The 26,454-nt window shown below is 40.0% G+C and overlaps 2 protein-coding genes and 1 long non-coding RNA gene across 19 annotated transcripts in view, besides 8 other annotated features; 1 reads left to right on the forward strand and 2 right to left on the reverse strand.

Annotated features, from left to right (window-relative positions):
* Positions 1-12,071, reverse strand: RNF139-DT (RNF139 divergent transcript). 2 transcript variants are annotated; one of them, NR_108048.1, is made up of 3 exons: positions 11,794-11,862; positions 11,593-11,702; positions 10,316-10,495 (listed from the first exon to the last, which is right to left on the reverse strand). It is a non-coding gene; the product is annotated as an RNF139 divergent transcript (long non-coding RNA). The 2 variants fall into 2 exon arrangements; NR_108047.1 differs by lacking the exon at positions 10,316-10,495 and adding an exon at positions 1-5,166 and having other exon boundaries at positions 11,593-12,071.
* Positions 9,002-9,503: an enhancer, noted in NCBI's record as "H3K4me1 hESC enhancer chr8:125483735-125484236 (GRCh37/hg19 assembly coordinates)". NCBI's record gives its function as "activates a minimal SCP1, AML or CMV promoter by ChIP-STARR-seq in primed H9 embryonic stem cells {active_cell/tissue: H9 hESC(primed)}" and the evidence as "EXISTENCE:reporter gene assay evidence [ECO:0000049][PMID:30033119]".
* Positions 11,476-11,665: an enhancer, noted in NCBI's record as "active region_27882". NCBI's record gives its function as "activates an Ori minimal core promoter by ATAC-STARR-seq in GM12878 lymphoblastoid cells {active_cell/tissue: GM12878}" and the evidence as "EXISTENCE:reporter gene assay evidence [ECO:0000049][PMID:35858748]".
* Positions 11,753-12,297: an enhancer, noted in NCBI's record as "H3K27ac hESC enhancer chr8:125486486-125487030 (GRCh37/hg19 assembly coordinates)". NCBI's record gives its function as "activates a minimal SCP1, AML or CMV promoter by ChIP-STARR-seq in primed H9 embryonic stem cells {active_cell/tissue: H9 hESC(primed)}" and the evidence as "EXISTENCE:reporter gene assay evidence [ECO:0000049][PMID:30033119]".
* Positions 11,753-12,335: a biological region, named in NCBI's record as "H3K27ac hESC enhancer GRCh37_chr8:125486486-125487030".
* Positions 12,006-12,335: an enhancer, noted in NCBI's record as "active region_27883". NCBI's record gives its function as "activates an Ori minimal core promoter by ATAC-STARR-seq in GM12878 lymphoblastoid cells {active_cell/tissue: GM12878}" and the evidence as "EXISTENCE:reporter gene assay evidence [ECO:0000049][PMID:35858748]".
* Positions 12,298-12,843: an enhancer, noted in NCBI's record as "H3K27ac hESC enhancer chr8:125487031-125487576 (GRCh37/hg19 assembly coordinates)". NCBI's record gives its function as "activates a minimal SCP1, AML or CMV promoter by ChIP-STARR-seq in primed H9 embryonic stem cells {active_cell/tissue: H9 hESC(primed)}" and the evidence as "EXISTENCE:reporter gene assay evidence [ECO:0000049][PMID:30033119]".
* Positions 12,356-12,665: a silencer, noted in NCBI's record as "silent region_19513". NCBI's record gives its function as "represses an Ori minimal core promoter by ATAC-STARR-seq in GM12878 lymphoblastoid cells {active_cell/tissue: GM12878}" and the evidence as "EXISTENCE:reporter gene assay evidence [ECO:0000049][PMID:35858748]".
* On the forward strand, positions 12,388-26,126 carry RNF139 (ring finger protein 139). 2 transcript variants are annotated; one of them, XM_047421310.1, is made up of 3 exons: positions 12,388-12,798; positions 20,768-20,915; positions 23,339-26,126. In XM_047421310.1, exon 3 carries the CDS (start codon positions 23,539-23,541, stop codon positions 25,150-25,152), a length of 1,614 nt encoding a protein of 537 aa, XP_047277266.1. In that variant the 5' UTR covers positions 12,388-12,798; positions 20,768-20,915; positions 23,339-23,538; the 3' UTR covers positions 25,153-26,126. The 2 variants fall into 2 exon arrangements, with proteins under 2 accessions (XP_047277266.1, NP_009149.2); NM_007218.4 differs by lacking the exon at positions 20,768-20,915.
* Positions 12,844-13,387: an enhancer, noted in NCBI's record as "H3K27ac hESC enhancer chr8:125487577-125488120 (GRCh37/hg19 assembly coordinates)". NCBI's record gives its function as "activates a minimal SCP1, AML or CMV promoter by ChIP-STARR-seq in naive and primed H9 embryonic stem cells {active_cell/tissue: H9 hESC(naive and primed)}" and the evidence as "EXISTENCE:reporter gene assay evidence [ECO:0000049][PMID:30033119]".
* The window catches only part of TATDN1 (TatD DNase domain containing 1), a 50,595-nt gene continuing 50,142 nt past the window's right edge, over positions 26,002-26,454 (reverse strand). For 14 of the 15 annotated variants that reach the window (NR_027427.1, NM_001146160.1, NM_001317891.1 and 11 more), the window contains one exon: positions 26,002-26,204. Coding sequence is in view for 14 of the 15 variants with exons in the window: in NM_001146160.1 (NP_001139632.1) it covers positions 26,102-26,204 (103 nt within the window). In the remaining variant the exon portion in view is untranslated. The remainder of the gene's footprint in view (positions 26,205-26,454) is intronic. The other variant, NM_032026.4, reaches the window with a different exon arrangement.

Below are 26,454 nucleotides of genomic sequence, written 5' to 3' on the forward strand. Positions count from 1 at the left end.
TTTTTTCTCTCTGTTTCAGGGAGGTTCTACTGCTGCATCTTCAAGTTCACTGATCTTTCTTTCTGCAATATCTAATCTGCCATTAATCTCATCTAACATATTTTTCATCTCAGACATTGGAGTTTTCATCTCTAGAAGTTTGATACGGGTCTTTTTATACCTTCATTGTCTGTAATATCTTCAGTCTTTCCTCTGGTTTCTTGAATACATGGAATATAATTATAATAACTGTTTTAATGTCCTTGTCTAATAATCTTCATCATCTGTAATTTCTGAGTCAGTTTTGACAGAATGTTTTATTTTTTGTTTGTTTTGAGATGGAGTCTTGCTCTGTTGCCCAGGCTGGAGTGCATTGGCACAATCTCACTGCAACCTCTGCCTCCTGGGTTCAAGCAATTCTCCTGCCTTAGCCTCCTGAATAGCTGGGACTACAGGTGAGCACCACCACTCCCTGCTAATTTTTGTATTTTTAGTAGAGACGGGGTTTCGCCATGTTGGCCAGGCTGGTCTTGAACTCCTGACCTCAGGTCATCCACCTACCTTGGCCTCCCAAAGTGCTGGGATTACAGGTGTGAGCCACTGCACCTAGCCCAGAATGTTTTATTTTTCTTATTATGGGTTGTATTTTTCTGTTGCATGCCTGGTAATTTTTGATTGGATGCCAGCCATTGTGAATTTTACTTTGTAGATTATTTTCATATCCCTAAAACAGTTTGAACTTTCTTCTGGAGTATGATTAAGTTATTTGGACACAGTTTGAATGTTTTTGGGTCTCTCTTTTAAGCTTTGTTAGGTTATTCTAGAGCATTTAGTCGAGGGTTAATTTTTCCCGCTATTGAAGCAAGACCTTTCTTAGTACTCTAACTGGTGCCTTGTGAATTAGGATCTTTTCCACTCTTGCTGACGGGATCAGGAATCATTCACCATCCTGTGTGAGCTTTGAGTATTGTTTTCTTTAATCCTTTCTGATGGTTCTTTGCCAAGCCTTTGGTTATTTCCTCTCATGCATGTACTAATCATTATTTAGCTTAATACTTCAGGAGAATGGTCAGCAGATCTCTGGAGTTCTCTCTGTGTCACTCTGTCCTCTCTAGTATTCTACCCTGTGAACTCTAGTTGCCTTGGGCTCTCAGGACTCCCACTTATATCTCCTCACCTCACAGAGTCTTCTGGGTTCCCTCTCCCCATGCCAAAGCCTTTCTTCAGGCAGCAAGTTGGAGCAATTGTATTGCTCACCTTGTTTGCATTCCATCTCTCATGGATTACTATCCTTCACTGCCTATGTCCAATGCCTTCAGGGCCATTGTTTCATATATTTTGCCCATTTAAAAAAAGTATTTGGAAGTTTATAATTACTTTCTACTTAAATTTACTAGCTGTCACAATCATTACTGAAGAAATTCACTCTTGCAATAATATACATATGTACTTCATTTGACACAGAATTTCAACATGTAAAGCATATAAGAATTTCTTGCCACAATCATGTTTAGAATGCTTACCTATAAGGTGAATATTAAAATATTAGTAAATACAATGACTTTTTTCAGATTAGACATGATAAATAACCTGCAAGGTTACTTGACCATTGGTCACACAGAATTTCAGAGAGATCAGAACCAGTGTCAAAATAGGTATTTGTCTTTTTGGCTTTTTAAAGGTCAAGGTTGAATCAAGGGTAAACGAAAATATTGCATGAACATGAAGCTAAAATTGAATTTTATGTAACACAACAACAGCACTGGGTAAATAGAGATAGGTGGATAGACTGTCTCAGTTTCTTTTTAATAATTTTTATTTTTTTAATCGAAGCTTTACACATAATTTAAAAACTCAAAGGTAACAAAACCTAATATGAAAAAAGCCCACCATGATGAAGCAGCTGTTCTGCAGGTGTTTTGCCCTCATTCTGTGTGTCTACTTTCAATTCCAAATGGGCTTATATGACCAAAGAGATGCAGGATCTAACCAACATGTACCAACAGGAACCATGAGCATGTGTATGGAACTGGGTCCTGAGAGTGCTGGACAAGAATTAAGTTTGTGTTTATATAGGACAGCAGTACCCATTTATAGTATTGGCTTAGGGTTATGTTAACTCTTCCACACTGCGTCATAATCCGAAGAGATCTAGACCATCTAAACATCCCACATAATGTCACAATGACCTACCACATTGATGACATCATGCTAGCTGGATAAGGTGAATAATAAGCAGCTAGCATACTGTACACTGGAGGATGGGAAATAATCCTTAAGACCCAGCAAGCTGTTACCTCAGTGAAACTTTTAGGGCCCAGTAGGCTGCTTGAATGCCAAGATATCCCCTTCACAGTAAAGGACAAATTATTGCATCTCACCCACTCATTTCACCAAAATTATTCTGCCACCAGGGAAGCACACCAAGCTGTGTAGGCTTCTGTGGGAATTCAGAAGTTGGCAGTACTGTTCTGACTCGTAAACTGGGTGAGATAGAAATCTGCCAGTTTTCAGTGGGATCCATAGCATGTAAAAGTTCTCTAGCAGGTATGGTGTATTTAGCCCTGTTGCATGGACCAATTCAGGATATTCTATGGGACAAGAGTAAATGTGATAAGAAGCCATGAAAGTTGAAGGCAAGCTCCAATGGGAGAATCACAAGGTCGACTCCTGGCATTCTGTGGCAAGGCTGGGCCATCTGCAGTGCAAAATCCCAAAAACAACTCTATCCATGCTAATGTGCCTTGGTAAGAACTGATTATGGACATCAAGTGACCATGTAGCCAGAGAGGCCCATCATGAGCTGGGCAAAGGCAGGTGGTCAGGCTCCCATGTCATATCTGATTCTTTACCAATGTCCCTTCCTCAGCTCACAATTATGGCCACTTGGGAGGCTCTCATGTCTAGCTTATGGAGGACAAAAAAGCCTGAGCTGAATTCACTGAGGTTTCTTGGAATATAGGTTCAAAACAAAAATGGACTGCTACTGCCCTACAGCCCCACACAGGACTGGCCTTAAAAGACAGCAGTAAGGAGAACCCTCCCAAAAGGCATAATGTGGGGCAGTATTCCTGGTCATCAACTGTGTGTGGAAAGAAAGTGTCTTGAACTAAGAACATATTTTCATGGCAAATAAGTTGGCTAGTTGATCAGGGGTCTGGAATAAGACTGGTATATCAGGGACAAGAAGTCTGGAGAAGCAGAGGAGAAATATATCAGATATGGCACATAAGGAGGGCTTTTTGTATTGTATAACACAATCTTTATCTGCCAGAGACAATCCAACATGTAAGCAGCATTAAATAACCAAGTAGACAGATTTAGCCAGTAAACTTCAGCAGCTACAACCATCGGCTCCACCGCCCCCTCCCTCCGCCCCCAGGAATGGCACAGGGGGCTTATGACAAAGTAGTCATCTTGCAGGAATGCAAGTGAGCAAGAAGCCAATAGATAGCCTCCACTTATCCAATAGCCACTCCCCAGGCTGGGCGCGGTGGCTCCTGTCTGTAATCCCAGCACTTTGGGAGGCTGAGGTGGGCGGATCACCTGAGGTCTGGAGTTTGAGACCAGCCTGACCAACATGGAGAAACCCCGTCTCTACTAAAAATACAAAATTAGCTGGCCGTGGTGGCGCATGCCTGTAATCCCAGCTACTCACGAGGCTGAGGCAGGAGAATCCCTTGAACCCAGGAGGCAGAGGTTGCAGTGAGCCGAGATGGCGCCACGGCACTCCAGCCTGGGCAACCAGTGAAACTCCGTCTCAAACAAAACAAAACAACAACAACAACAACAACAAAATAGCCACTCCCCAGTGTTAAACACCAAGTTCCTGATACAGCACCAACCCTCAAGGATACCAAACAGCTACTTGGGCAGCAAATTGATTTATGTTGGATTCCTTCCATCCTAGAATGGGCAGTGATTCTCCTTGACTAGAAACTGCCCATCTGCATGTATGAGTTTGACTTCCTTGCCTATAAGTTGTTGGCCAGCTCTACTACTCACAGGTTTACAGGTATTTGATCCATCAACATGTATCCTGTGTAATATTGCCTTTGATTTAGGGATGCACTTTACAGCAAAGGAGGTGTATCAGCAGGTACATAACCATGAGATCCACTAGTCCTATCACATACTATATAACCGAGAAAATGCGGGTCTGATGGAATGATGAAAAACCCTTTTGAAGGTGAAACTGAAGCAAAAGCTTGAAGATAATAGCCTGTGAAAATGGAATGACCTTGTCCACCAGGGTACAGTATATACTCTAAATCAACACTCATTTTATGGTGCTGTGTCTCATATATACATAACATGCATGTTTGGGAATGAAAGGATATAAATAGAATTCCTACTGTGTAGTAGGCTGAATAATGGCCCCCAAATATGTTCAGATCCTAATCCTGGATTCTATGAATATTTTACCTTCAAGATAAAAGAGACTTTGTGGATATGACTAAGTTAATGATCTCAAGATACAGAGATTATCCTGGACTATCCAATAGGCCCAATATAATCATAAAGATTCTTACAAGAGAGAGGCAGATTTGCCTAGTAGATGCAATGACTTAAGCAGGAGGATGGGGTGATATGAGTAAGGGGCCATGAGCCAAGAAATGTAGGTAGCCTCTAGAAATTGAAAAAGGCAAGGAAACAGACTTTTTCTTGAAGACTTCAGGAAAAACAGTCCAGTTGATATCTTGATTTTAGGCTTCCAGAACTGTAAGAAAATAAATTTGTGTTGTTTGAAACCACTAAGTTCGTAGTGTCATAGCAGTGATAGGAAATTAATATAACCACATACTCTCACTCCCAGTGACCCAAGTGGGGAGTTTGGACTTCTCATCCCCGCAACTTTGTGAATTAGAAGTCCTGATTCCCAAGAGAGGAACCTTTTCATCAAGAGACACAATAATAGATCCTTTAAACTTTAACTTGCTGAGGTTTCCCGGTTCAAGGTCCTTGTGCTAGGAGACCAGCAGGCAAGGAAGAGTCACCATGTTAGTTGGGGTAAATGAATCCAATCATCAGGAGGAAATAGCGTTATTGCTACACGATGATGGCAGGAAGGAATATACCTGTAGTTTACACTCAAGACCATATAGTGGTCTCTTGATATGTCCCAATATCAAGTAAAGTGGACAACTTCCAAAACAGCAGGGTAAACATCTCCAAATACTGGCTTCTCTATAAAAGCAATGAGAACACAGGCAAAAATGGTCAGTCAACTTTTTCAGAACTCTAGAAAGTAACTAAAAGCTTGAAATAATCTGAGGTGCCTCTATTTGAGAAAAACAGCTAAATCTTGGTAAACAGGGAAGCATTTTAACTTGCCTTATTCCCAGCCCCCACCTCTTAATACAATGATAAATAGTAATGGTGACAGTGAGCAACCTTCTTACTCTTAACTTTAGGGAGAATGCTTCCAGCATGTTTCACCATTAAGTGATATGCTGTCCTTTGTTAAGCAGTATCCAGAGTCCTATTATATTGTTGGCTTATCATGTTTCCCACTGCACTCTAGTGTCACTTTTCTAATGAATCAAGTGACCCTATATGTGTGGAGTTTTTCTAGACTTTCTGTTCTGTTCTGTTCCATGGGTCAGTTTTTCTATCCATGCACCAATACTATCTCGTCTTCATTACTATAGCTTAGAATAGGTCCTGATGTCTCACAGTATAAATCCTTCAACTTTGTTTTTTAAGACTGCCTTAGGTATTCTTGACCTTTTCCAGTTTCTTAGGAATTTTAAAATTGGCTTTTTGATTTTTGGAAAAAAGAACCTGCTGAGATTTTTTTTTAATTGAGATTACATAGAATATATAGGTCAACATCTTTACAATACTGAATCTTCCATCTTGAAGTTTTATTATATCCAGTTGGGTGTAACTGTGAAATGAGAAGCAATTATCAGAAACCCGGATTACAGGATCCCACCTAAGGTGAAAGGTCCTATACTTCCCATCAGTGGGATACTATAGCCATCTTCTCTGGGCTCTCTGCTTTGACAGATGTTTTCAACTTAAGTATTACCTGTATTCTTCCTCTCAGCAGTATCTCAGTCCTCAGATTATGCTTGACCGTCACCGAAGATGAACATATTTTATCATTCACTCATATTCTAATGTAAATTAAGTCCTACTTATTTCATACAATAATTCGAACTAATATCTTCACAGCACTCCTGAGTCATAAATGGAGTCACTGCAAAGTGCTGTGCACTGCAAAGTGCTGTGTGTAGTAACAGGGGTTCCAATGAGTGTATCTCCTACAATTGGTTTACTACATGCTATACTAGGTATTTAAGATGTATTGCTTTAATTCTTGTAAAAAAGCAAGAGAACATACTTGCAGAGGATCAGATCTTAGGCTCTGGAATCAGAAAAATATGAATCAGAAACCTGGCTCTGCCACTACTATTGACTGATTAGTTCTGTGTCCTTGGACAAGTTTGGTGAGGGCTAAATTGGATAGTGCATGTCATGTATTTCATATCTTATGTGGCAATATTCTTTTCCCCAAATGATACTAAAGATTAGACAGCTTAAATACTTTGCCTCAAGACACAGAACTAGAAAGAGGCAGAAGAGGGCTAGCATACTGCCAAGCACATAGAAAGTATTCAGTAAATGTCTGCTGAATGAACAAACCACAGTCAGTATATACTCAACATTTACTTCAAATACCACTATATTCTCTGTTGTTTCCTTTAACTTATGCAACAAACTTAAAATATTTTTTATTTCCATAGGTTTTTGGGGAACAGGTAGTATTTGGTTTCACAGGTAAGTTCTTTAGTGGTGATTTGTGAGATTTTGGTCTACCCATCACCCAAGCAGTATACACTGAACCCAATTTGTAGTCTTTTATCCCTTACCCTCTTCCCACCCTTTCCCCGAGTCCCCAAATTCTATCATGTCATTCTTATGCCTTTGCATTTTCATAGCTTAGCTCCCACTTATGAGAACATATGATATTTGGTTTTCCATTCCTGAGTTACTTCACCTAGAATAATAGTCTCCTATCTCATTCAGGTCGCTGCGAATGCCATTAATTCATTCCTTTTTATGGCTGAGTAGTATTCTGTCATATATTTATACCACAGTTTCTTTATCCACTCATTGATTGATAGGCATTTGGGTTGGTTCCACATTTTTGCAATTACGAAGTGTGCTGCTATAAACATGCATGTCCAAGTATCTTTTTCATGTAATGACTTCTTTTCCTCTGGGTAGATAACCCAGTAGTGGGAATCCTGGATCAAATGGTAATTCTAGTTTTAGTTCTTTAAGGAGTCTCCACACTGTTTTCCATAGTGGTTGTACTAGTTTACATTCCCACTTCTACATACACAGCAGTGTAGAAGTAGCAAAAACAAACTCTTACTATTTATTTGGCATCTACAAAACCAGAAAATTCAAATAGAATTTTGATGGGCACATCTGAATTTACTTTAATGAGAAGAGAAAAACCATAAAGTAATTTAGGATAAGAGATCAATTGCAGTAATTCCCAGGGTCTGAGAAAAAGTTATGGCATATATTTTCACCATCAATCCTACTTGCTTTGGTTGGAATGTGTCCCCCAAATTGCATGCATTGGAAACTTAATCCCCAATATGGCAGTACTGAAAGGTGGGGCCTTTAAGAAGTGATTGGGTCATGAGGGCTGGTGATCCATTCATGGACTAATGGGTTGATAGATTAATGGGTTACTATAAGAGTGGGATTGGTGGCTTTTTTTTTTTTTTTTTTTTTTTGAGACAGACTCTTGCTCTGTTGCCCAGGCTGGAGTGCAGTGGTGTGATCTCGGCTTACTGCAACCTCTGCCTCCCTGGTTCAAGCGATTCTCCTGCCTCAGCCTCCCACCACGCCAGGCTAATTTTTTGTATTTTTAGTAGAGATGGGGTTTCACCACGTTGGCCAGGCTTGTCTCAAACTCCTGACCTTAGGTGATCCACCCACCTCGGCCTCCCAAAGTGCTGGGATTACAGGCGTGAGCCACCGTGCCTGGCCTGGGACTGGTGGCTTCATAAAAAGAGGAAGAAAGGCCTGAGTGGGCATGCTCAGCCCCCCTGATCCCTGCAGTCCCCACCAGCAACAAGATTCTCCCCAGATGTGGTCCCTCCACCTTGAAATTCTCAGCCTCCTCCCTAACTGCCAGAAATGAATTCCTTTTCTTTATAAATTACCCAGTTTCAGGCATTCTGTTATAAACCACAGAATACAGACTAGGACACTACCCTTCCTACCAGTATCCCTATCTTCCACTTGAAGAAAATACATATTAGTAGAAGTGGGGAGTGAAGGGGTTAAATCCAAGTGCATGTTTCCTACTGCCTCCTCCCACTACAGAAGCTAGGGTGCAGATACATGATCCAATAAGCTTGACCAATTGGATGGTGATGTAATTTGGATCTCCCCTGCAAATCTCATGTTGAGATGTAATTCCCAGTTAGAGGTAGGGCCTGGTGGTGTTTGGGTCATGGGGACTGATCCCTGATGGCTTGGTGTTGTCCTCACCATAGTGAGTTCTCATGAGATCTGATTGTTTAAAAGTGTGTGACACCTATCCCCACCCCCTCGCTCCTGTTTTTGCCATGTGAAGTGCCTGATCCTACTTCACCTTCCACCATGAGCAAAAGCTTCCTGAGGCCTCCCCAGAAGCAGATGCAGGCACTAGGTTTCCTGTACAGCCTGTAGAACCGTGAGCCAATTAAACTTCTTTTCTTATAAATTACTCAGCCTCAGGTACTTATAGCAATGCAAGAATGGCCTAATATAGGTGGTCTCTCCTGGGACTTGAAATCTTGAGGAATAATGAAAATAACCCCTTAATAAATTCCCTTTTTGCTTAAGATAACCCAGAAGAATCAGTTTCTGTTGTAGGAAACAAAGACTTCATTAATGCAAATGTCAAGAGAAAATTCAAACTAGTTTTTACACATCCTACCTGTAAAAGTTTTGAAAGCTACTAAAAGGCTTTCTGAGCTGTTAAATCTGAAGGATTTATAACAGATTGTTATTTTCAAACACGAGTATTCTATGTATACAGTTTGTGTGTGTGTGTATTCACACACACACACACACACACTCATGAACCACACTGTGCAGACTCAATATAAATGTACACCTGAGTTGTGCAACATTCAAATCAATGCAGAAATCAAGCAAAGATTAGATTCAGTGAATTGTAGCTATTTCTTGGAAACATTACCTTTTTTTTGAGACAGGGTCTCACTCTGTCACCCAGGCTAGAGTACAGTGGCGTGATCTTGGCTCACTGCAACCTCTGCTACCCAGGCTCAAGGCAGGCTCAAGTGATCCTCCCACCTCAGCCTCCTGAGCAGCTGGTACCACAGGCCTATGCCACCATGCCCAGCTATTTTTTTTTCCCCCAAGACAGAGTCTCACTCTGTCACCCAGGCTGCAGTGCAGTGGCGCCATCCTGGCTCACTGCAACCTCCGCCTCTCGGGTTTAAGCAATTCTCCTGCCTCAGCCTCCCAAGTAGTTGGGATTACAGGTGCCCACCATCACACCCGGCTAATTTTTGTATATTTAATAGACATGGGGGTTTTACCATGTCGGCCAGGCTGATCTCGAACTCCTGACCTTGTGATCCGCCCGCCTCGGCCTCTCAAAGTGCTGGAATTACAGGTGTGAGCCACCGCGCCCAGCCCACATCCAGCTATTTTTACAATTTTTTTGTAAAGATATAGTTTTGCCTTGTTGGACAGGCTCGTCTTGAACTTCTGGCTCAAGCAATCCACCCTCCTTGGCCTCCCAAAGTGCCGGGATTTCAGGCATAAGCCACCACACCCAGCTGGAAACATCTTTTATCTTAAAAATTCCTAAGCATCCTATAAATTACCTCATTACTATAAATTTAATTTTAACGTAGTATTTTAACACAGTTGCCAGGACCTCATTCAAACCTTCATTTTATAGATGGAGAAAGAGAGCTCACACAGGGGTGTCCAAGGGAGATAATACAGTCATGGGTTCTTAGTTTCCGCTTCTGGTTGGGTCAGTAAATACCTCCTCATCTCTCTTTTCCGCTTATCACTAGAAACAGAAACTAAAAACCATGGCTTCAGGCTGTTAACAGCCTAAAACAAAACAGAACAACAACAGTAACAAAATAAGGTGGGTTGGACAAGTTTGGCAGAGAGCCTGCTTGGAGAAGCTGTGTGAAAAAAAAAAAAGACTGCCACCGCTCCTGAAAGTTCTCGGCCCAAGATGGAATTTAGTCAAAGAAACTCTTACACTAATAAAATTTGTACATCAAATTAAGATCAGGGACAGTTAAAACATTAATAAAGACTGAAGCATTTGTTCATTTAAAAAATTTTATTTAATATTTACATTTATTTTTAAAATAAAAATTAGAGGAAAGCCCATGAACTCATTTTCCATGAACATAATATAATAGTACTCACCTATCTCCTCTACCCAACTTGTGTTTTAGATGAGTCCTTTTGGATCTTTTTCCCCATAATGGCCTCTCTCCTTTTGCTTTACAGTGCAATCAGGGCAGAATAACAGATATGTTGAGTAGCTAATTTATATTTCTGAAGATCTCCATAGAACTCTTAAGTTCTAAGTCTTCATAGTCTTTGCACCTTGCCAAGTTTGCTTTCCTTTGGGAATTCTGTCATAACCACAAGGTTATTCCCCAGACATGCAGTTTGGGGAAATTAACCCGGCAGTAGTAAACAGACTGGATTAGAAAAGGTGGCAGTCGTAATAAGGATATTCCAATAACCGGGGAAAGCTACAGAAGGATCTTGAGTTAGGATGATGACAGTTACAATAGAAAGGAGACCAGTACAAGAGACGGTGAAAACAGAATGGATACAATTTAGTTGAAGAATTGGCTGTGGGTGAAAAGAAGAAATCAAAGATGCCTGAAGTTGTGAGTTTCAGGTAGCCCTGAGTTTATAATCCTAGTTCTGACTCGTACTATCTTTGGATATACTAGCTGCTGACTACTAACTGAACAAGGTAGTAACCTTGTCATCTTGTAACTTACCTAAGTCTGTTTCCTCCTCTATAAAACAAACTATCAAAATAAAGCCGATGAAAAGATTGAAGTAAAACATAAAACCCTTAGCACAGTGCCTAGTATCCATTAAGCAGTAGATAAATGATGGCGGTCATTATTAGGGAGTAGGGTAAAGAACAGAAGGTTAAAAACATGAGTAGCAGTAAGGACTTTTGGGTGGGGATTCGGTCTTTCTACTACACATTACACATACCTCTAAGCAGAGAAAGGGGTTGGAGGGGAGTTTGATAATGTGACTAATAATCCTCCTCCCCCTGGGGGGGATCTTGATAAAGGATAGCCACCCACATGGAGGCCTAATATAAACTGGATTGCAGAATGCACTTGAGCTGGGAGCCCAAGCGGGCCAGGCTTCTTGATTCCTATTTTATCCCCTTTAACCTAGGATAGCTAGGTCTATAGTGCAGACTCAGACCTAACTTACACTTTCATTTGCAGCTGAAGTTTCGGAACAAAGACAAAGATAGCCAGATCATATTAATTACACGGATAGGCAAGAAAGCATGAGCCCTGAGGAGGAAGGAAGGGACTGTCCAGGTGTACTTACCTCAAAGATGAGAAATATCAAAGACAGGAAACCCTAGGTTCTTGCCCTTCAGTCGCTATCTCCTTGCCATTAGTAAAATGCGGCCGATGAATGTCCTCACTTCTGTCCATCTGGGCAGGAGGTGGGAAGGGTGACGTGCAAATGGATGGGAGGAACCCTTTTTTCGGCAGCACCCACCACACCCAGCCTAGTGCCACGCACCGCAAGCGCTCCATAAACGCACACAGCGTCGCCTCTACCAGGATCCCGGGCGGCCTTCGCGGGATTTCTCCTGGCGTCGGCTTTCAGACTCCCGAGGGTGGGATAAATCGAGAGGGTGGCATCCTTTGGCTTTTCTTCTCCCAGGCAGCTCTGAACCATGTTTATGCAACGTTTAATGGGCTCTAATAAAACGGCTAATAATTTTGATCCGCGGAAGCACCGACTCGCTCGCTAAGCCGAATCTGCGAGGGTGAAGCTGCAACTCCAACGCCGGAAAGCGCGGCTACCGAAAAGCGCATGCGCCACGGGGTGGCACGAAGCTAGAGTAAGCTGAGGAGGTGGGCGGAAACCATGGCAACCATGGGTGATGACGACATGGGGAGCGTCTCTAGCGCTGGATTATGACGCTGGATTATGACGCAGGCAGTGGGCGCGGACTCTGCGGTTCGCTTGACTGACGGCGCAGCCTCCGGGCCTAGCCACAGCAGCAACGGCAGAGGCCAGCGGGCGAGGTCAAGATGGTGGCTCCGCGGGCGGGGGAGGCAGTGGAGGGAGGAGGAGTCAGACCTTAGCCAGCCGGAAACACCGAAACCCAGAGACCTCCTGGGGAGCCGCCGCCGCCGCCCTCTCGGCCATCGCTGCCTCCGCCGCCTGCTCCACCTCGAGGGACGCGAGCGGGCGGCGGGGCTGGCCGTGAGAGAGACAGGAGAGGAAGGAGGGCAGGGGCGGAGTTGCCCGCCTTAGCCCCCGCCCCCGGCCGCGGCCCCGGGCCCTGCCCCGCGCGGCCCTGCCCGGCCCACCGAGCCCTGGTGTGGCAGCGGCTCATGGCGGCCGTGGGGCCCCCGCAGCAGCAGGTGCGGATGGCCCATCAGCAGGTCTGGGCGGCGCTCGAAGTGGCGCTCCGGGTGCCCTGCCTTTACATCATCGACGCCATCTTCAACTCCTACCCGGATTCCAGCCAAAGCCGGTTCTGCATCGTGCTCCAGATCTTCCTCCGGCTCTTTGGTAAGGGAACAGGGTACCGTACGTCCCGGGACGGCTATGCGGGCCGAGACGTTCCCCGGGGAGCGGGCAGGCGCGCAGAGGCCATGGGTCGAGTATGTGTCTTTGGGAACTACAGTTTCATCCCTCAAAGGGTCGTCTTTACGGGTTGGGAGGGGGAAGGAGATGATACTTGTCTGAGTTGACAGCGGAGCAGTCCCCCTAGCGAGGATTCAGTGTTGTACCTGAGTGAGGTGGGGAGAAAGTAAGGATGTGTGAGCATGCAGCTCTTTGCCCGTTTGCCTTGGGAAATGAGTACTGGCTTACCGCGTCCTATGCGACAGCCTTCGAAAAACAACTCTGCTATCCCAGTCTCGTCGTGTGTGACCTTGGACTTCTGCCAAGGCGTGGGCCTCAGTTTCCCTTTATTACCAAATGCCGAGTACTTGTATGTTGTCACTTCTGCTGCACCCGAGGGTCCACAGGATCGTGAAGTGTCTGCAGTAAATGACATCCAAGCGAAGGAGACAGGGTTTTGAATGTCAGACCTTGAAACCATTACCAAAAATTCTCATGAAAGCGGCGATGCTTAAATCGAGTCCTAAAATTTTCCATGAATAAACGAGAAGGTATTGAAAGTGACTGTAAAAAGTGATGAGACATTTGCCAAAGAGACTTCTGAAAATCATTGTCTTTGTTTCGTATGGATGGAGTGTTAAAAGTATCTTATATTTCATTTCTTCCTTTCCATCTTCACTTACATCATCAGAGGGAGATGCATTTATGCGTAAAATAATTTTTTAAGTAATTGTAACTTGGCAAATTTTGTTGATGAGGTAATTCTGGTGATCGGTCTTAAGTAGGCTAGTGCTTTTGAAGTGTTGCTGAGGGCAGACTGATGGTGAGGTCTTTACCAAGCCTTTCTGAATTACAAGCCATCTGTTGCTTTATTCCTTCAAAAGAGGAGTGGCAATAAAGGCCGAATTTTGTTCTTAGCAATAAATAGCCATATTTTACATTTATCTGGTATTTTCCTTTTGCAAAGCATTTTCACTGGTAGGTATTATCTAACCTAACCTTCAAACATCCCCCAGAGGTGGGTGGTGGTATTGTCATTTTACAAACCAGGAAACAGGGTCATAGAGGTTAAGTGTTTTGCTCTTGGTAGGCTGCCGCTAAGTGGTTGCCAGAGCCTGAGCTTAAAAATCTTTTGACATTAAATATGGTTTACTTTCCTCCCTAACAGCTGCAATCCAGATACAGAATGCAGTAGTAATGATCATATGCTAGATCTTAAAACTAAAGATGTAAACGTGATGTTCAGCCCAAGCTGCTTCAGTAACCCACCTGCTACCTAATTCCAGCCTTTCCTACTTGCCACTGCTAACGTATACCACCACCATAATTTGTGTTAAAAACTGGGCTCTGTTTGAGAGGATTCTGCATGTTCATCCCAGAAACAGTGTAGTGACTGCTTTGAATATTCTTACAGCATGATAACTGCAGATTCTGTGAGAATCCCTTTGGGACCTGGTGCTTTAATGCAGTAGTCTGTTGAGCTTCAGGTTAGGCAGCTTCAAGGAAAAGAAGTATTTTCTTTAATTAAATAATTTGTAGTGTAAGAACATTGAACAAAGCAATCTGATATTTTCCTTGTACTAGGCATGTTTCTTTTGTAATAAATCTTGGAAGTTTGTGTTTGACAAAGAACAACATGACTTAAGGCAACTGCTCAGTGCTTTGGTTTCTTATTTTTACCTTTTAAAAGATGGAGAGTGAGGTTATCTGTTTCATAGGGTGTTAAAGACAATAAATCTATTTTAATGCTTCATTTAATACCATATTTTGTTAGATATTTTGGTCTTTTGAAATCATCGGCAAAATATTGGTGTTGTTTATTTGAAAATTTTGATCCCTGGAATCTCTGGATCAGACTTTGAGAAATACGAAATACTCTTCAAATCTATCATCCGACTCTTCTTACTGTGTCATGTAATTATGCTAATTTTTCACATTTGTAAGGATGATAAGAATGAAAAAAACTGATTTCGGTGCTAAAAAATTATGTTACTAAAAGACACAGGTTTGTGTGTAAATATGCCAATGGATAGTTGAAATTAATCGTTCTGCCTTGTTAGTTTTTTTGTAGTTGTAGACTTCTCAGTACTACTGTGTATAAGTCTTACCACTTGTCAACCTCACTTTTTTCTTTAAAATTAATGTGTAAAAATGGAAATCTCTAAGTAAAAAGCATTACCAGTTTTATGTGTGGTGGTAGAAGTATTTACTCCCCTCTACCTACAAAATGGTGCTACAACTGTACCTTCATTTGATATCAAACTAATTTGAGATTTCAACCGGTTAGAAAATAAAGCAACTCATTTTGGAGATCCAAATAAAATTCTATGACAATATATGGAATATTGAAGAACATAAAGCTGTGTTTTAAGGGATGTTAAATACTAAACGAAACTCAACCCAGAGCAGCATAATGCTGAGTTAGCAAATTTAAATCCAAGGCAGAAAATGCAAGCCTAGGAGTTTGTTTTAATAGTATTACTAATATGGTGATAATTCATTGAGGTGGGAAAAGGCTTTAAACATAACAGAAGACCCAGAAGTTCCAAGGAAAAATCTGAAAAATTTCAGTACATAAAAATAAAAAGCTTTTTTATGGCAAAGCTTAAAAAAGAATCCTTAAATGACAAACTGAGATAAAATACTTCTATCATAAGTGATTCACGTTCCAGTAAGAGTTTTACCCTGCCAGGGAAGCTGAGGCAGGAGAATCGCTTGAACCAGGGAGTTGCAGGTTGCAGTGAGCCGAGATCGCTCCACTGCACTCCAGCCTGGGGATAGAGTGAGACTCTGTCTAAAAAAAAAAACAAAACAAAACAAGAAAAAACTTATACTCCCTTAGGAAAATGCCTAAGACAAGCAATTCACAATAAACAAAATGCAGATGTTCAATAAGCAAGAGAAAAAGTATTTAGCCCTTCCTGCAGTAGCTTGATTTTATGGGGGAAAAAAAAAAGTACCTAGCCTTGTTTATAATTAAATACTGTCAAGACCGCTTACGGTGGCTCACGCCTATAATCCCAGCACTTTGGGAGGCTGAGGCAGGCAGATTGCTTGAGGCCAGGAGTTTGACACCAGCTTGGCCAAATGGCACAACCCGTGTCTACCAAAAAATTAGCCGGGTGCAGTGACTCCTGCCCATAGTCCCAGCTACTGTGGAGGCTGAGGCACGAGAATCTCTCGAATCGGGGAGGTGGAGGTTGCAGTGAGCCAAGATCGCGCCACTGCACTCCAGCCTGGGCGATAGAGCGAGACTGTCTCAAAAAAAAAAAAAAAGTCAAAAAAAATTTATCAGATTGGTGAAGAGTTCAAAGTTTTATTAGTTTTGCAAAGGTATTTACCTTTTTGAAATAGGTAAATTTATACAATTTTGGAAGACTTTTTTTTTTTTTTGAGACGGAGTTTGCTCTTGTTGCCCAGGCCGGAGTGCAATGGCGTGATCTCGGCTCACCACAACTTCCACCTCCCAGGTTCGGGCGATTCTCCGGCCTCAGCCTCCCGAGTAGCTAGGATGATTACAGGCAAGCGCCACCACCCCCGGCAAATTTTTTTCTATTTTTAGTAGAGACAGGTTTTCTCCATGTTGGTCAGGCTGTTCTCCAACTCCCGACCTCAGGTGATCTGCCCACATCGTCCTCCCAGAGTGCTGGGATTACAGGCGTGAGCCACCGTGCCTGGCCCGGAAGACTCTTAATTTCAGTGTAAAACCATTTGGCAGTATCAACTGTCATTTACAACTGACTTCTCAGTGTTTTGTTTTGTTTTTGAGACAGTCTCACTCTGTCACCAAGGCTGGAGTGCAGTGGCGTGATCTCAGCACACTGCAACCTCCACCTCCCAGGTTCAAGCGATTCTCCTGCCTCAGCCTCCCAAGTAGCTGGGATGCCTGGCTCGTACAACTTTTGACTCACAATTTCAATTCTAGGGAATTGGCCTAGAGAGATAGTTTGCTTAAGGACTATGGGCAAGCATTACTGGAAATAACAAAGCAACAAACTTAATCTAAATATGTATTGATACAAATCTGTTCATTGTATTAGGTCTAGCCATGCAATAAAGTTCTTGAAAGAAATGAGATAGCTATTTTTGGTGCCGAAAAAGACTTCAGAAAACCTCTGAAGTGAAAAAACAAAGCCGAAGTAATTATCACTGGCAGAGGAATAGACAGAGATTTCTCAACAGTGGCAGTATTGACATTTTGGACAGGATAATTCTTTGTTTGCGGATGGGAGCTCTCCTGTGCACTGTAAGATTTTTAGCAGCATCACTATCCCCTGCCCATTAGATGCCAGTAGCACCTTGCACCCCCACACCCCAGTGTGACAGCCAAAACTGTCCCTGGATATTGCCAAATCATGGTTGAGAACCATTGGGATAGACAAATAGATTAGTACTTAGCCTTATTTATAATTACATAGCCCAGAAACAGACACCAATGTATATATAGAAATAATGTGTTTCAGAGATAGAATTGAAGTACATTGAGGTAAATATGGACTGTTGAATTAATGATCATTTTGTTACACCTTTGGAAATAAATTATACTAGATGTCTACCTTATGTCAATATATAGACAGTCACTTCTAGGTTGAGCAGTGTAGTGAGACCCTGTCTCTGCAAAAATAAATATTTAAAATAATAGCCATACTTGGTGGTGGGTGCCTGTAGTCCTATCTTACTCAGGAGGCTGGGGTGAGAAGATCGCTTGGGCCTAGGAGTTCAAGGCTGCAAGTGAGCTATGATTGCATAACTGCACTCCAGCCTGGCTGGGTGACAGAGCAAGACCCTGTCTCTTAAAAAAAAAAAATAGTCATTTCTAAGTGTATTCTTACCTAGATGTATATGTAAATATGAAATGCAGAACTTTAAATTTTTAGAAAAAAATATGGAATATTTTATTTTTCCAATCTTAGATTAAGGAAGAAATCCTTAAAAATATATAAAAGCAAATACATAATGAAGATTGATAAACCGAATGATATTGAGGTTAAAAACCTATGTTAATCAAAAGATCGCACCACTGCACTCCAGCCTGGGCAACAGAGCGAGACTCCATCACTAAAAAAAAAAAAAAAAAAAAAAGGAAGTCAAATCTTGGGTAAGGGGGAACTACTGTACTTACATTTACCCATTTATTATAAAGGCAATTACAAAGGACACAGATGAATTAACCCGATGGAAGGAGATGTACAAGGTGAGACAAAGAAGGAGAGAAGAGGAGAAGGGGCGTGGAGCTTCAGTGTTCAGCTATCTGAGAGCTCACAGAACTCAGTCCTTTTGGGCTTCTATGGAAGTTCATTAAATAGGCAAGATTGATTAGATCACTAGTCATTGGTTTATGGACTCAAGTTTCAGCTTCTTTCTTCCCAGAAGTGGCGGCTGGGGGTAGGAATCAAAGTTATAACCCTTAATCACTGGGCTGATTCCCCTGGCTACCTAGCCCCCATCCTGAAGCTATCTAGGGGCCCCCAGGCACCAGTCATCTGATTATTGTACAAAACAGTCATCACTCCAGAGATTCCAAGGATTTTAGAAGCTATGTCAGAAAATGGGACAAAGACCAAATATTAATATTTTTTTTATGATATCACAGATGGGAAAGACAAACTAGAAAAACTTGCTTTAACTCTTCATTTAACACCTCTCTGTAGGGTTTGGCTTTTTAAAATCCATGTTCATATATTTTTGATAAAAGCATACTTATTATAAGTTTAGTTTAAAAGCAAAAGTTTAATTTTGTGTTAATACTTAGAATACCAGGTTTTTTTTCAACCTAAAATGAGAATCCAATAGAAATGTTTTCTTTATAATTTATCAAGTATACCAACAGATTAACAACATTTCAAGACACTTTGTTGTAAACTTCATTGCGGAAGGCTCCCTTGGGAGTAAGGTAGTAGTAACATTTATTTCTGTGCTTTTCCATATTTATTCTGTCAGGTATTGAAATGTTTTTCCACAGGTTGCTTTTTGTTTTAGAGGTATTTCGGGTACTTGGAGAATTGTAAATATTATGTTTTGTACCCTGATTTTTAGTCATAAGTTTCCAAAAGAGGGTAAGGGTATGAATAGACTTTACACATAAAAGAGTGAAACACTTTGTTATGTAACATGTATAGTAAGTTTTTATTTTTTCTTTTGTTTTTATTTGCCTGTTTTTGGTAATCCAAATTGAAAAGGCCTGAACTCTTTCATGAGTTGAGTTCATATATAGTTTCAAAGTTCCTGAATTGATTTGGATACCTGCCTCTTTTTGGCTACCTTGAAAACTCTAGTGAACTCTCTTAATCACTGGAGAATTGGACTGAGATCTCTGAGTTGTGATTTCAGTAAATTCTGTTCTCAAAATTTTTTATAAAGCAGCATTTATATACAGTCTTGATTACTTGTGCAAGTCACTTCCAAATCCTAATGAGAAACTGTCTCTGGACTTTTATATTTTCTTAGACCTACAGTTTAAATACCAAGAAAGGCTTTCATGTCTAATGTAAAAATGCAGTGAAACTTTGATATTATTCTGCAAAGGCCATGAGAAAGATGATTACTTTGGAGACTTGTTACTTAGGATATTGGTTTTTAAAATGAGAGCAGATTCTTCCCAAATTCCATAGGTAGGAACGTGACTATAAAAGGAAAATCTATGAACCCCATATACCTACAAACTTTGGGTAGGAATTAAAACAAACATATACTATTCTTGAAATGTTAACTCACTATTACATCTTGGGGGGTGTGATTTTAATCAGGATAGAGTATTGTCAGATTGTTACTTGCTGGGATACATCCAAATTTTGAGGTTGTAGTCTTACTACATTATTTGTCTATCTGATGCCTTCCCCTTTTTTTCTTTGATACATTTGCATAAAGCAAAATGGCACTTTTTCACTAGAAATGTTTCTAAAACCCAAATAATTTCTTCATTTGTGTGTAGTAAAAACAAGCTTCAGGAAAAAAGTTATTAGAATTTTAAAAATTAGTTATAAAATTATGGCAAAGCTCATGAATAGTTACTGAAGATTAATTTACTACTTTGTGAATAGCAAGTTGACAAAAATAATTTACAGTTCCTGCTTGACTTTCTCCCCTCTAAGTGGCATAAAGTAGAACTAGAGTTATTTTGTTTTGGTTTTGACCCAACTTAGAAGATTTGTTTTAAAGTTTCTGAAGTTTTGTCTCAGGAAAATAAGGTGGTTTTCCATGTAGAGAATGTAAGATTACATATGGCATCTGGTAGGCTGAATTAATTCCATTTTCTTGTTACCTTCCATGGAAGAAGTTTCTAATAAAAAAATCTTTTCAGGGCCGAGCGCAGTGGCTCACGCCTATAATCGCAGTAGTTTGGGAGGCCGAAGCGGGTGGATCACCTGAGGTCAGGAGTTTGAGACCAGCCTGACCAACGTGGAAAAACCCTGTCTCTACTGAAAATGCAAAATTAGCTGGGAGTGGTGGTACATACCTGTAATCCCAGCTTCTTGGGAGGCTGAAGCAGAAGAATCGCTTGAACCTGGGAGGCAGAGGTTGCAGTGAGCCAAGATCACGCCATTGCACTCCAGCCTGGGCAACAGGAGCGAAACTCCATTAAAAAAAATATAAAAAAAAATATATATATATATAATATATATATATTATTTAAATATATATATATTTAAAAATATATATATTAAAAATATATATATATATTTAAATATATATATATTTAAAAATATATCTATTAAAAATATATATATATTATTTAAATATATATATATTTAAAAATATATATATTAAAAATATATATATTTAAAAGAGCCTGTTCTGAGCTCACAACTCTTTGGGGGATTATTAGTGGCCCATTTTCTTGGGGAATCAGGTGGTTTGTATTTAGAGGTTTATATGTCTTCTACTTTATTGTGTCCTTTTGTTTTCCTTTTCACAGATGACTTGACATTTTGGCACAGAATACATTTTAAATCCCTGGACAGAGTCATCACTTAAATGAACTAGCCCTTGCTTATATGTGCAGTGGATTGTGAAATGCGTCTACTGTAATAATATGCAATGTCTTGATTACCTGCTGAAATAAGGTGGATAGATGGATTTTTATTTTATTTAATATTTATTTATTTATGTATTTTGAGACAGGGTCTCACTGTCACCCAGGCTGGCATGCAGTGGTGCGATCTCAGCTAACTGCAATGCCTCCCGGGTTCAAGCGATTCTCCCACCTCAACCCCCTGAGTAGCTGGGAGTACAGGCACGTGCTACCACCCTGGCATATTTTTATATTTTTGGTAGAGACAGGGTTTCACCATGTTGACATGGTCTTGAACTCCTGGCCTCAAGTGATCCACCCGCCTCAGCCTCCCAAAGTGCTGGGATTACCATTGTGAGCCACCACACCCAGCCAAGATGGATTTTTAATTTGGAGTTTGTCACTTTTTCTGTACTCCAGGGTATGGTTTCTCATTGTCTGAAACATAGATTTTATTTTTCAAGCAGGCTATATTTTGTGGTTGCCTTTAAAAACATCCAGATGTGACAGACATTTCCTAATGAATACTAATTGTACTTATTTTGTACAAAATATTGTAGAATCCATAGATGGACAGGGTAGGATCTTTGCTTTCTGTTATAGATACATGTGTAATAGGGTAGATTATACTTAGATAACTGCAGACTACAATATCAGGTGATATATGAGTGTTAAATGTTTCACTAAGTTCTGCAGGTATGCTGAAAGAACAGTTTCTATCAAAGAAAGTAGGTTTCTAGGATAGGTAGGATTTGAATAGTCAGGGATTGGGAGGTTGGGGACATCATTCCAAGCAAAAAGAATGTAAACACTGCTGTAGCTATAGTGGAGAAAGGAATGTGTTTGGGGAATCCAAGTCTGGAGCACTGATGTGTGTGTGTTAGGAGGAATATTACTGTAAAGCAAATTGGGTTCTTGAATGCCAGGAGCAAGAATGTAGATTTTAGTTGATAGTAATTTCAGAGCCGCTGAAGTATTTTGAGCAGGGAATGAAGAAAGGCAATTTGGTGATGGCTTGTAAATGGATTTGGACAAGATGAGGGTTTTTTGAGACAGACTGATTGATTGGTGTCACAGAAAAGGGAGATAGAGGTGTTAGAAGAATTTGGCAACTAATTGGCAAAGTTTGAGCATGTGGGGCTGGGTTGGGAGTATCTCTAAAAGAACAATAATGGTACCTTCAACTGAAATAGCAAATCACAAGGAAAAGCTGATTCTAGTTTAAGGCAAGTCGAGTTTCAGAACTTTGGAGATTTGCAGTTGTAGGAGTGAAAGTAGGTGAGTATTCAGATGTCATTCCCATTGTTGAAACCTTGGATAATAATGTGTTTATTGTAATCCTACTTAAAATATGCATTTCTGTCAGAGTACAAAGAAAGATGGTGTCTATGGAGTGGGGGAAGGAGAATTACCATTTTCTAAAAACATGTCTTGGTTTTCTGAGTGTTACTTTTGTAATGTGAAGAACAATAAAAAGAGTTGACTATTTTAAGAAACAGATTCAGCATTATACAGGAAAAAGGGAACTTGGAAGATGTTTCTAAGTCCGAAGGAAACTAGGAGGAAAAAAAATGGAATTTTGGACCCTTTGGAGAATGCTCAGAGTTAAGGAGTAGGAAATAAGAGCTGGCATGAGTTCACAGTTTGAAGAAAAGGAGGAATTAAGTGGAAGTATAAAACTTGAACTTGATTTCCTAAAGAATCCTTTAAAAAAAAATCTAAAACTTGGCTGGGTGCGGTGGCTCACGCCTGTAATCCCAGCACTTTGGGAGGCAAGGCGGGCGGATCACTTGACGTCAGGAGTTAGAGACCAGTCTGGCCAACATGGTGAAACCCCGTCTCTACTAAAAATACAAAAATTAGCTGGGCATGGTGGCAGGTGCCTGTAATCCCAGTTACTTGGGAGGCTGGGGCAGGAGAATTGCTTGAGCCTGGGAGGCAGAATTTGCAGTGAGCTGAGATTGCACCAGTGCACTCCATCCTGGGCAACAGAGTGAGACTCTTGTCTCAGTCAGTCAATAATAAATGAATCTAAAACTTAATAGGAATAAATGTTTTCCATTTGGGTTATTTTTAACCCAATTTTTAAAATTAATTTTAATGATTATGAAATGATAAAAGACATATTCTTTTGAGTTTTAAAACTTGTTAAAATGTATGTACCACTACAAATTCATCTTGAAAATAATTTAGTAATTTGGTGCCTTGGACAGCTACAGTGTTACTTGAAATACTTTGGAAATTAGAAAGTAAGGAATGAAATTTTAAAGAATAATTTAGTATGTTTGGTCTGTTCTCCTGAACTCTGACTTTACAAAACCTTTATTACCCTTTAAGCCTTAGTTGTCTTGAGGCTTAATGTTCATAACTGAAAATATTCATATTTCCTAATTAAAGGAAGAATATCATAACTCTTAGTGGGGAAACATTCTTACAAATACTTCATTCAAATGACTTTTTCTTTCTTTCTTTTAGGTGTATTTGCATCCAGTATTGTTCTGATCTTGTCACAACGATCACTTTTCAAGTTTTACACGTACAGCTCAGCCTTTCTGTTAGCTGCAACTTCAGTGTTGGTGAATTATTATGCTTCTTTGCACATTGACTTCTATGGTGCCTACAACACGTCAGCTTTTGGAATTGAGCTGCTTCCTCGAAAAGGTCCCTCGCTGTGGATGGCACTTATCGTTCTACAGCTAACATTTGGAATTGGATACGTTACACTACTCCAGATTCATTCCATCTATTCACAATTAATTATTTTGGATCTCTTGGTTCCTGTAATAGGCTTAATCACAGAGCTACCATTACACATCAGAGAGACTTTACTGTTTACTTCTTCCTTGATTCTCACATTAAATACAGTGTTTGTCCTGGCAGTGAAACTGAAGTGGTTTTATTATTCCACACGATATGTTTATCTTTTGGTGAGGCACATGTATCGAATTTACGGATTACAGTTATTGATGGAGGACACATGGAAGAGGATTCGTTTCCCAGACATACTACGAGTCTTTTGGCTAACAAGAGTTACAGCTCAGGCTACAGTGTTAATGTACATCTTAAGGATGGCAAATGAAACTGATTCCTTCTTTATTTCTTGGGATGATTTTTGGGACCTCATTTGCAATCTTATAATTAGTGGGTGCGATTCTACACTAACTGTACTGGGCATGAGTGCTGTAATTTCCTCAGTAGCCCATTATTTGGGGCTTGGAATATTGGCCTTTATTGGATCAACTGAGGAAGATGACAGGCGTCTTGGCTTTGTTGCACCTGTTTTATTTTTTATTTTGGCTCTTCAGACTGGGTTAAGTGGGCTAAGACCAGAAGAGAGACTTATTCGCTTAAGTAGAAACATGTGCCTTTTATTAACTGCAGTCCTGCATTTTATCCATGGAATGACAGACCCTGTATTAATGTCTCTCAGTGCCTCTCATGTGTCATCTTTTCGTAGACATTTTCCTGTGCTGTTTGTCTCTGCTTGCCTGTTTATTCTTCCTGTCTTACTCAGTTATGTTCTTTGGCATCACTATGCACTAAATACATGGTTGTTTGCAGTTACAGCATTTTGTGTGGAACTGTGCTTAAAAGTAATTGTTTCTCTCACTGTTTATACGTTATTCATGATTGATGGCTACTATAATGTCCTCTGGGAAAAGCTTGACGATTATGTCTACTACGTTCGTTCAACAGGCAGTATTATTGAATTTATATTTGGAGTTGTAATGTTTGGAAATGGGGCTTACACTATGATGTTTGAGTCGGGAAGTAAAATTCGGGCTTTTATGATGTGCCTACATGCATATTTTAACATCTACTTACAAGCCAAAAATGGCTGGAAGACATTTATGAATCGTAGGACTGCTGTGAAGAAAATTAATTCACTTCCTGAAATAAAAGGGAGCCGCTTACAAGAAATAAATGATGTATGTGCAATCTGCTATCATGAGTTTACAACATCTGCTCGTATTACACCGTGTAATCATTATTTCCATGCACTTTGCCTTCGGAAATGGCTGTACATTCAAGATACTTGTCCAATGTGCCATCAGAAAGTATACATCGAAGATGATATCAAGGATAATTCAAATGTATCTAACAACAATGGATTTATTCCACCCAATGAAACTCCAGAGGAAGCTGTAAGAGAAGCTGCTGCTGAATCTGACAGGGAATTGAACGAAGATGACAGTACAGATTGTGATGATGATGTTCAAAGAGAAAGAAATGGAGTGATTCAGCACACAGGCGCAGCAGCTGAAGAATTTAATGATGATACTGACTGATGAAAATAGCATTTATTAATGATTGAGGTATTTGTTTAAAATTCAGTTCATCCAAAATGGAGTAATATCCTTCACCTTCAGTGTGTAACCAAGCACAAAAACAGTATCAATGTTGAATCTGTGAATGGTTTTCCGTTTACTGTGATGTGCTACTGTAAATATACCTCTTTAATTACTTCTGGTCTCTTTGGTGACCTGTTTAAATTTGTGTACATTATTGTACATAGAATAAAATGTTTTCACATTTTTATGACAAAATTTGAACAAATAGCTTTTTAATAGATGTAATGATCATATGGTGCGTCACCTGTGCCAAATATTCTTCAATGAAATTATATAATGTAACTTTGGACCTCAGTTTTTCTTTAGAAATGGGTGGGAGAATGAAAATGCAAATCAGGAAACCACATTAAAGTCAAGGAAATAAAATAATTTGACCAGAGGATAAAGGACATGAGAGAGTATTTTAAAACTAAAGAAAAAATTAGCTGCCAGAAGCAACTGAGGACCTTTTTTGAAACTTGAGTAGCAGTGTAATTGAGCTGAGTTTGAAAGTCCTGATTCAGAGAGAGACTGAGGGTTGACAAATAAACTGTATCAACTAAACTTTGATATAAACCAGAATGTGCTAAATGTTTTTTATGTAAAATTGTATATTTGTTAGCCATTCTGTGTCTGCAGTATTGTCATAAAATTGTCCTTTCATTCTTTTGAAGATATTACAAAACAAAAATAGTTTTTTTTAAATTGTTTTAAACTAAGATACTCAATGATATAAAAACATCCTGATCTGATTTTACGAGAAAAAGAAGGGGAATGGTGGGGAATGGTGTGTACCGATATATAGTATTTCTTTAGACAACTTGCAGATAATTTCTTTATTGAAACTATCAGGAAGTTTTACTATGAAATTTTACATACATGATGGAAAGTGGAAGACATATACCAATTATATTCCAGGAAAAAATACTTTAATAGTATTGTTATATAGTGTATTGGCTAATTCCAGTGGATCCTCATCTCTCACTGCTGACATTATCTCCAATATTTGACTAAAACAAAACAAAAACAAAAATGGTTAAATCTCCAAGTATACATTTAGTTCTAAAGCTATATAATATTTTTCCACACAAAGGAAAATATTGGCACACCTTTAATATAATAAAGCTTAACAGTTATTAAGTTTTTCAGCAATATCAATAGAAAAACTTACTGCCAGTAACTGGAAACAGATTTATGGACTGTCTTGCATATAACTAGAGCTAAGAACCAGGTTCAAGTAAATTATTAAAGCAGCCATCT

This window comes from Homo sapiens, chromosome 8 (genome assembly GCF_000001405.40).
Source record: "Homo sapiens chromosome 8, GRCh38.p14 Primary Assembly".
Taxonomy (NCBI): Eukaryota; Metazoa; Chordata; class Mammalia; order Primates; family Hominidae; genus Homo; species Homo sapiens.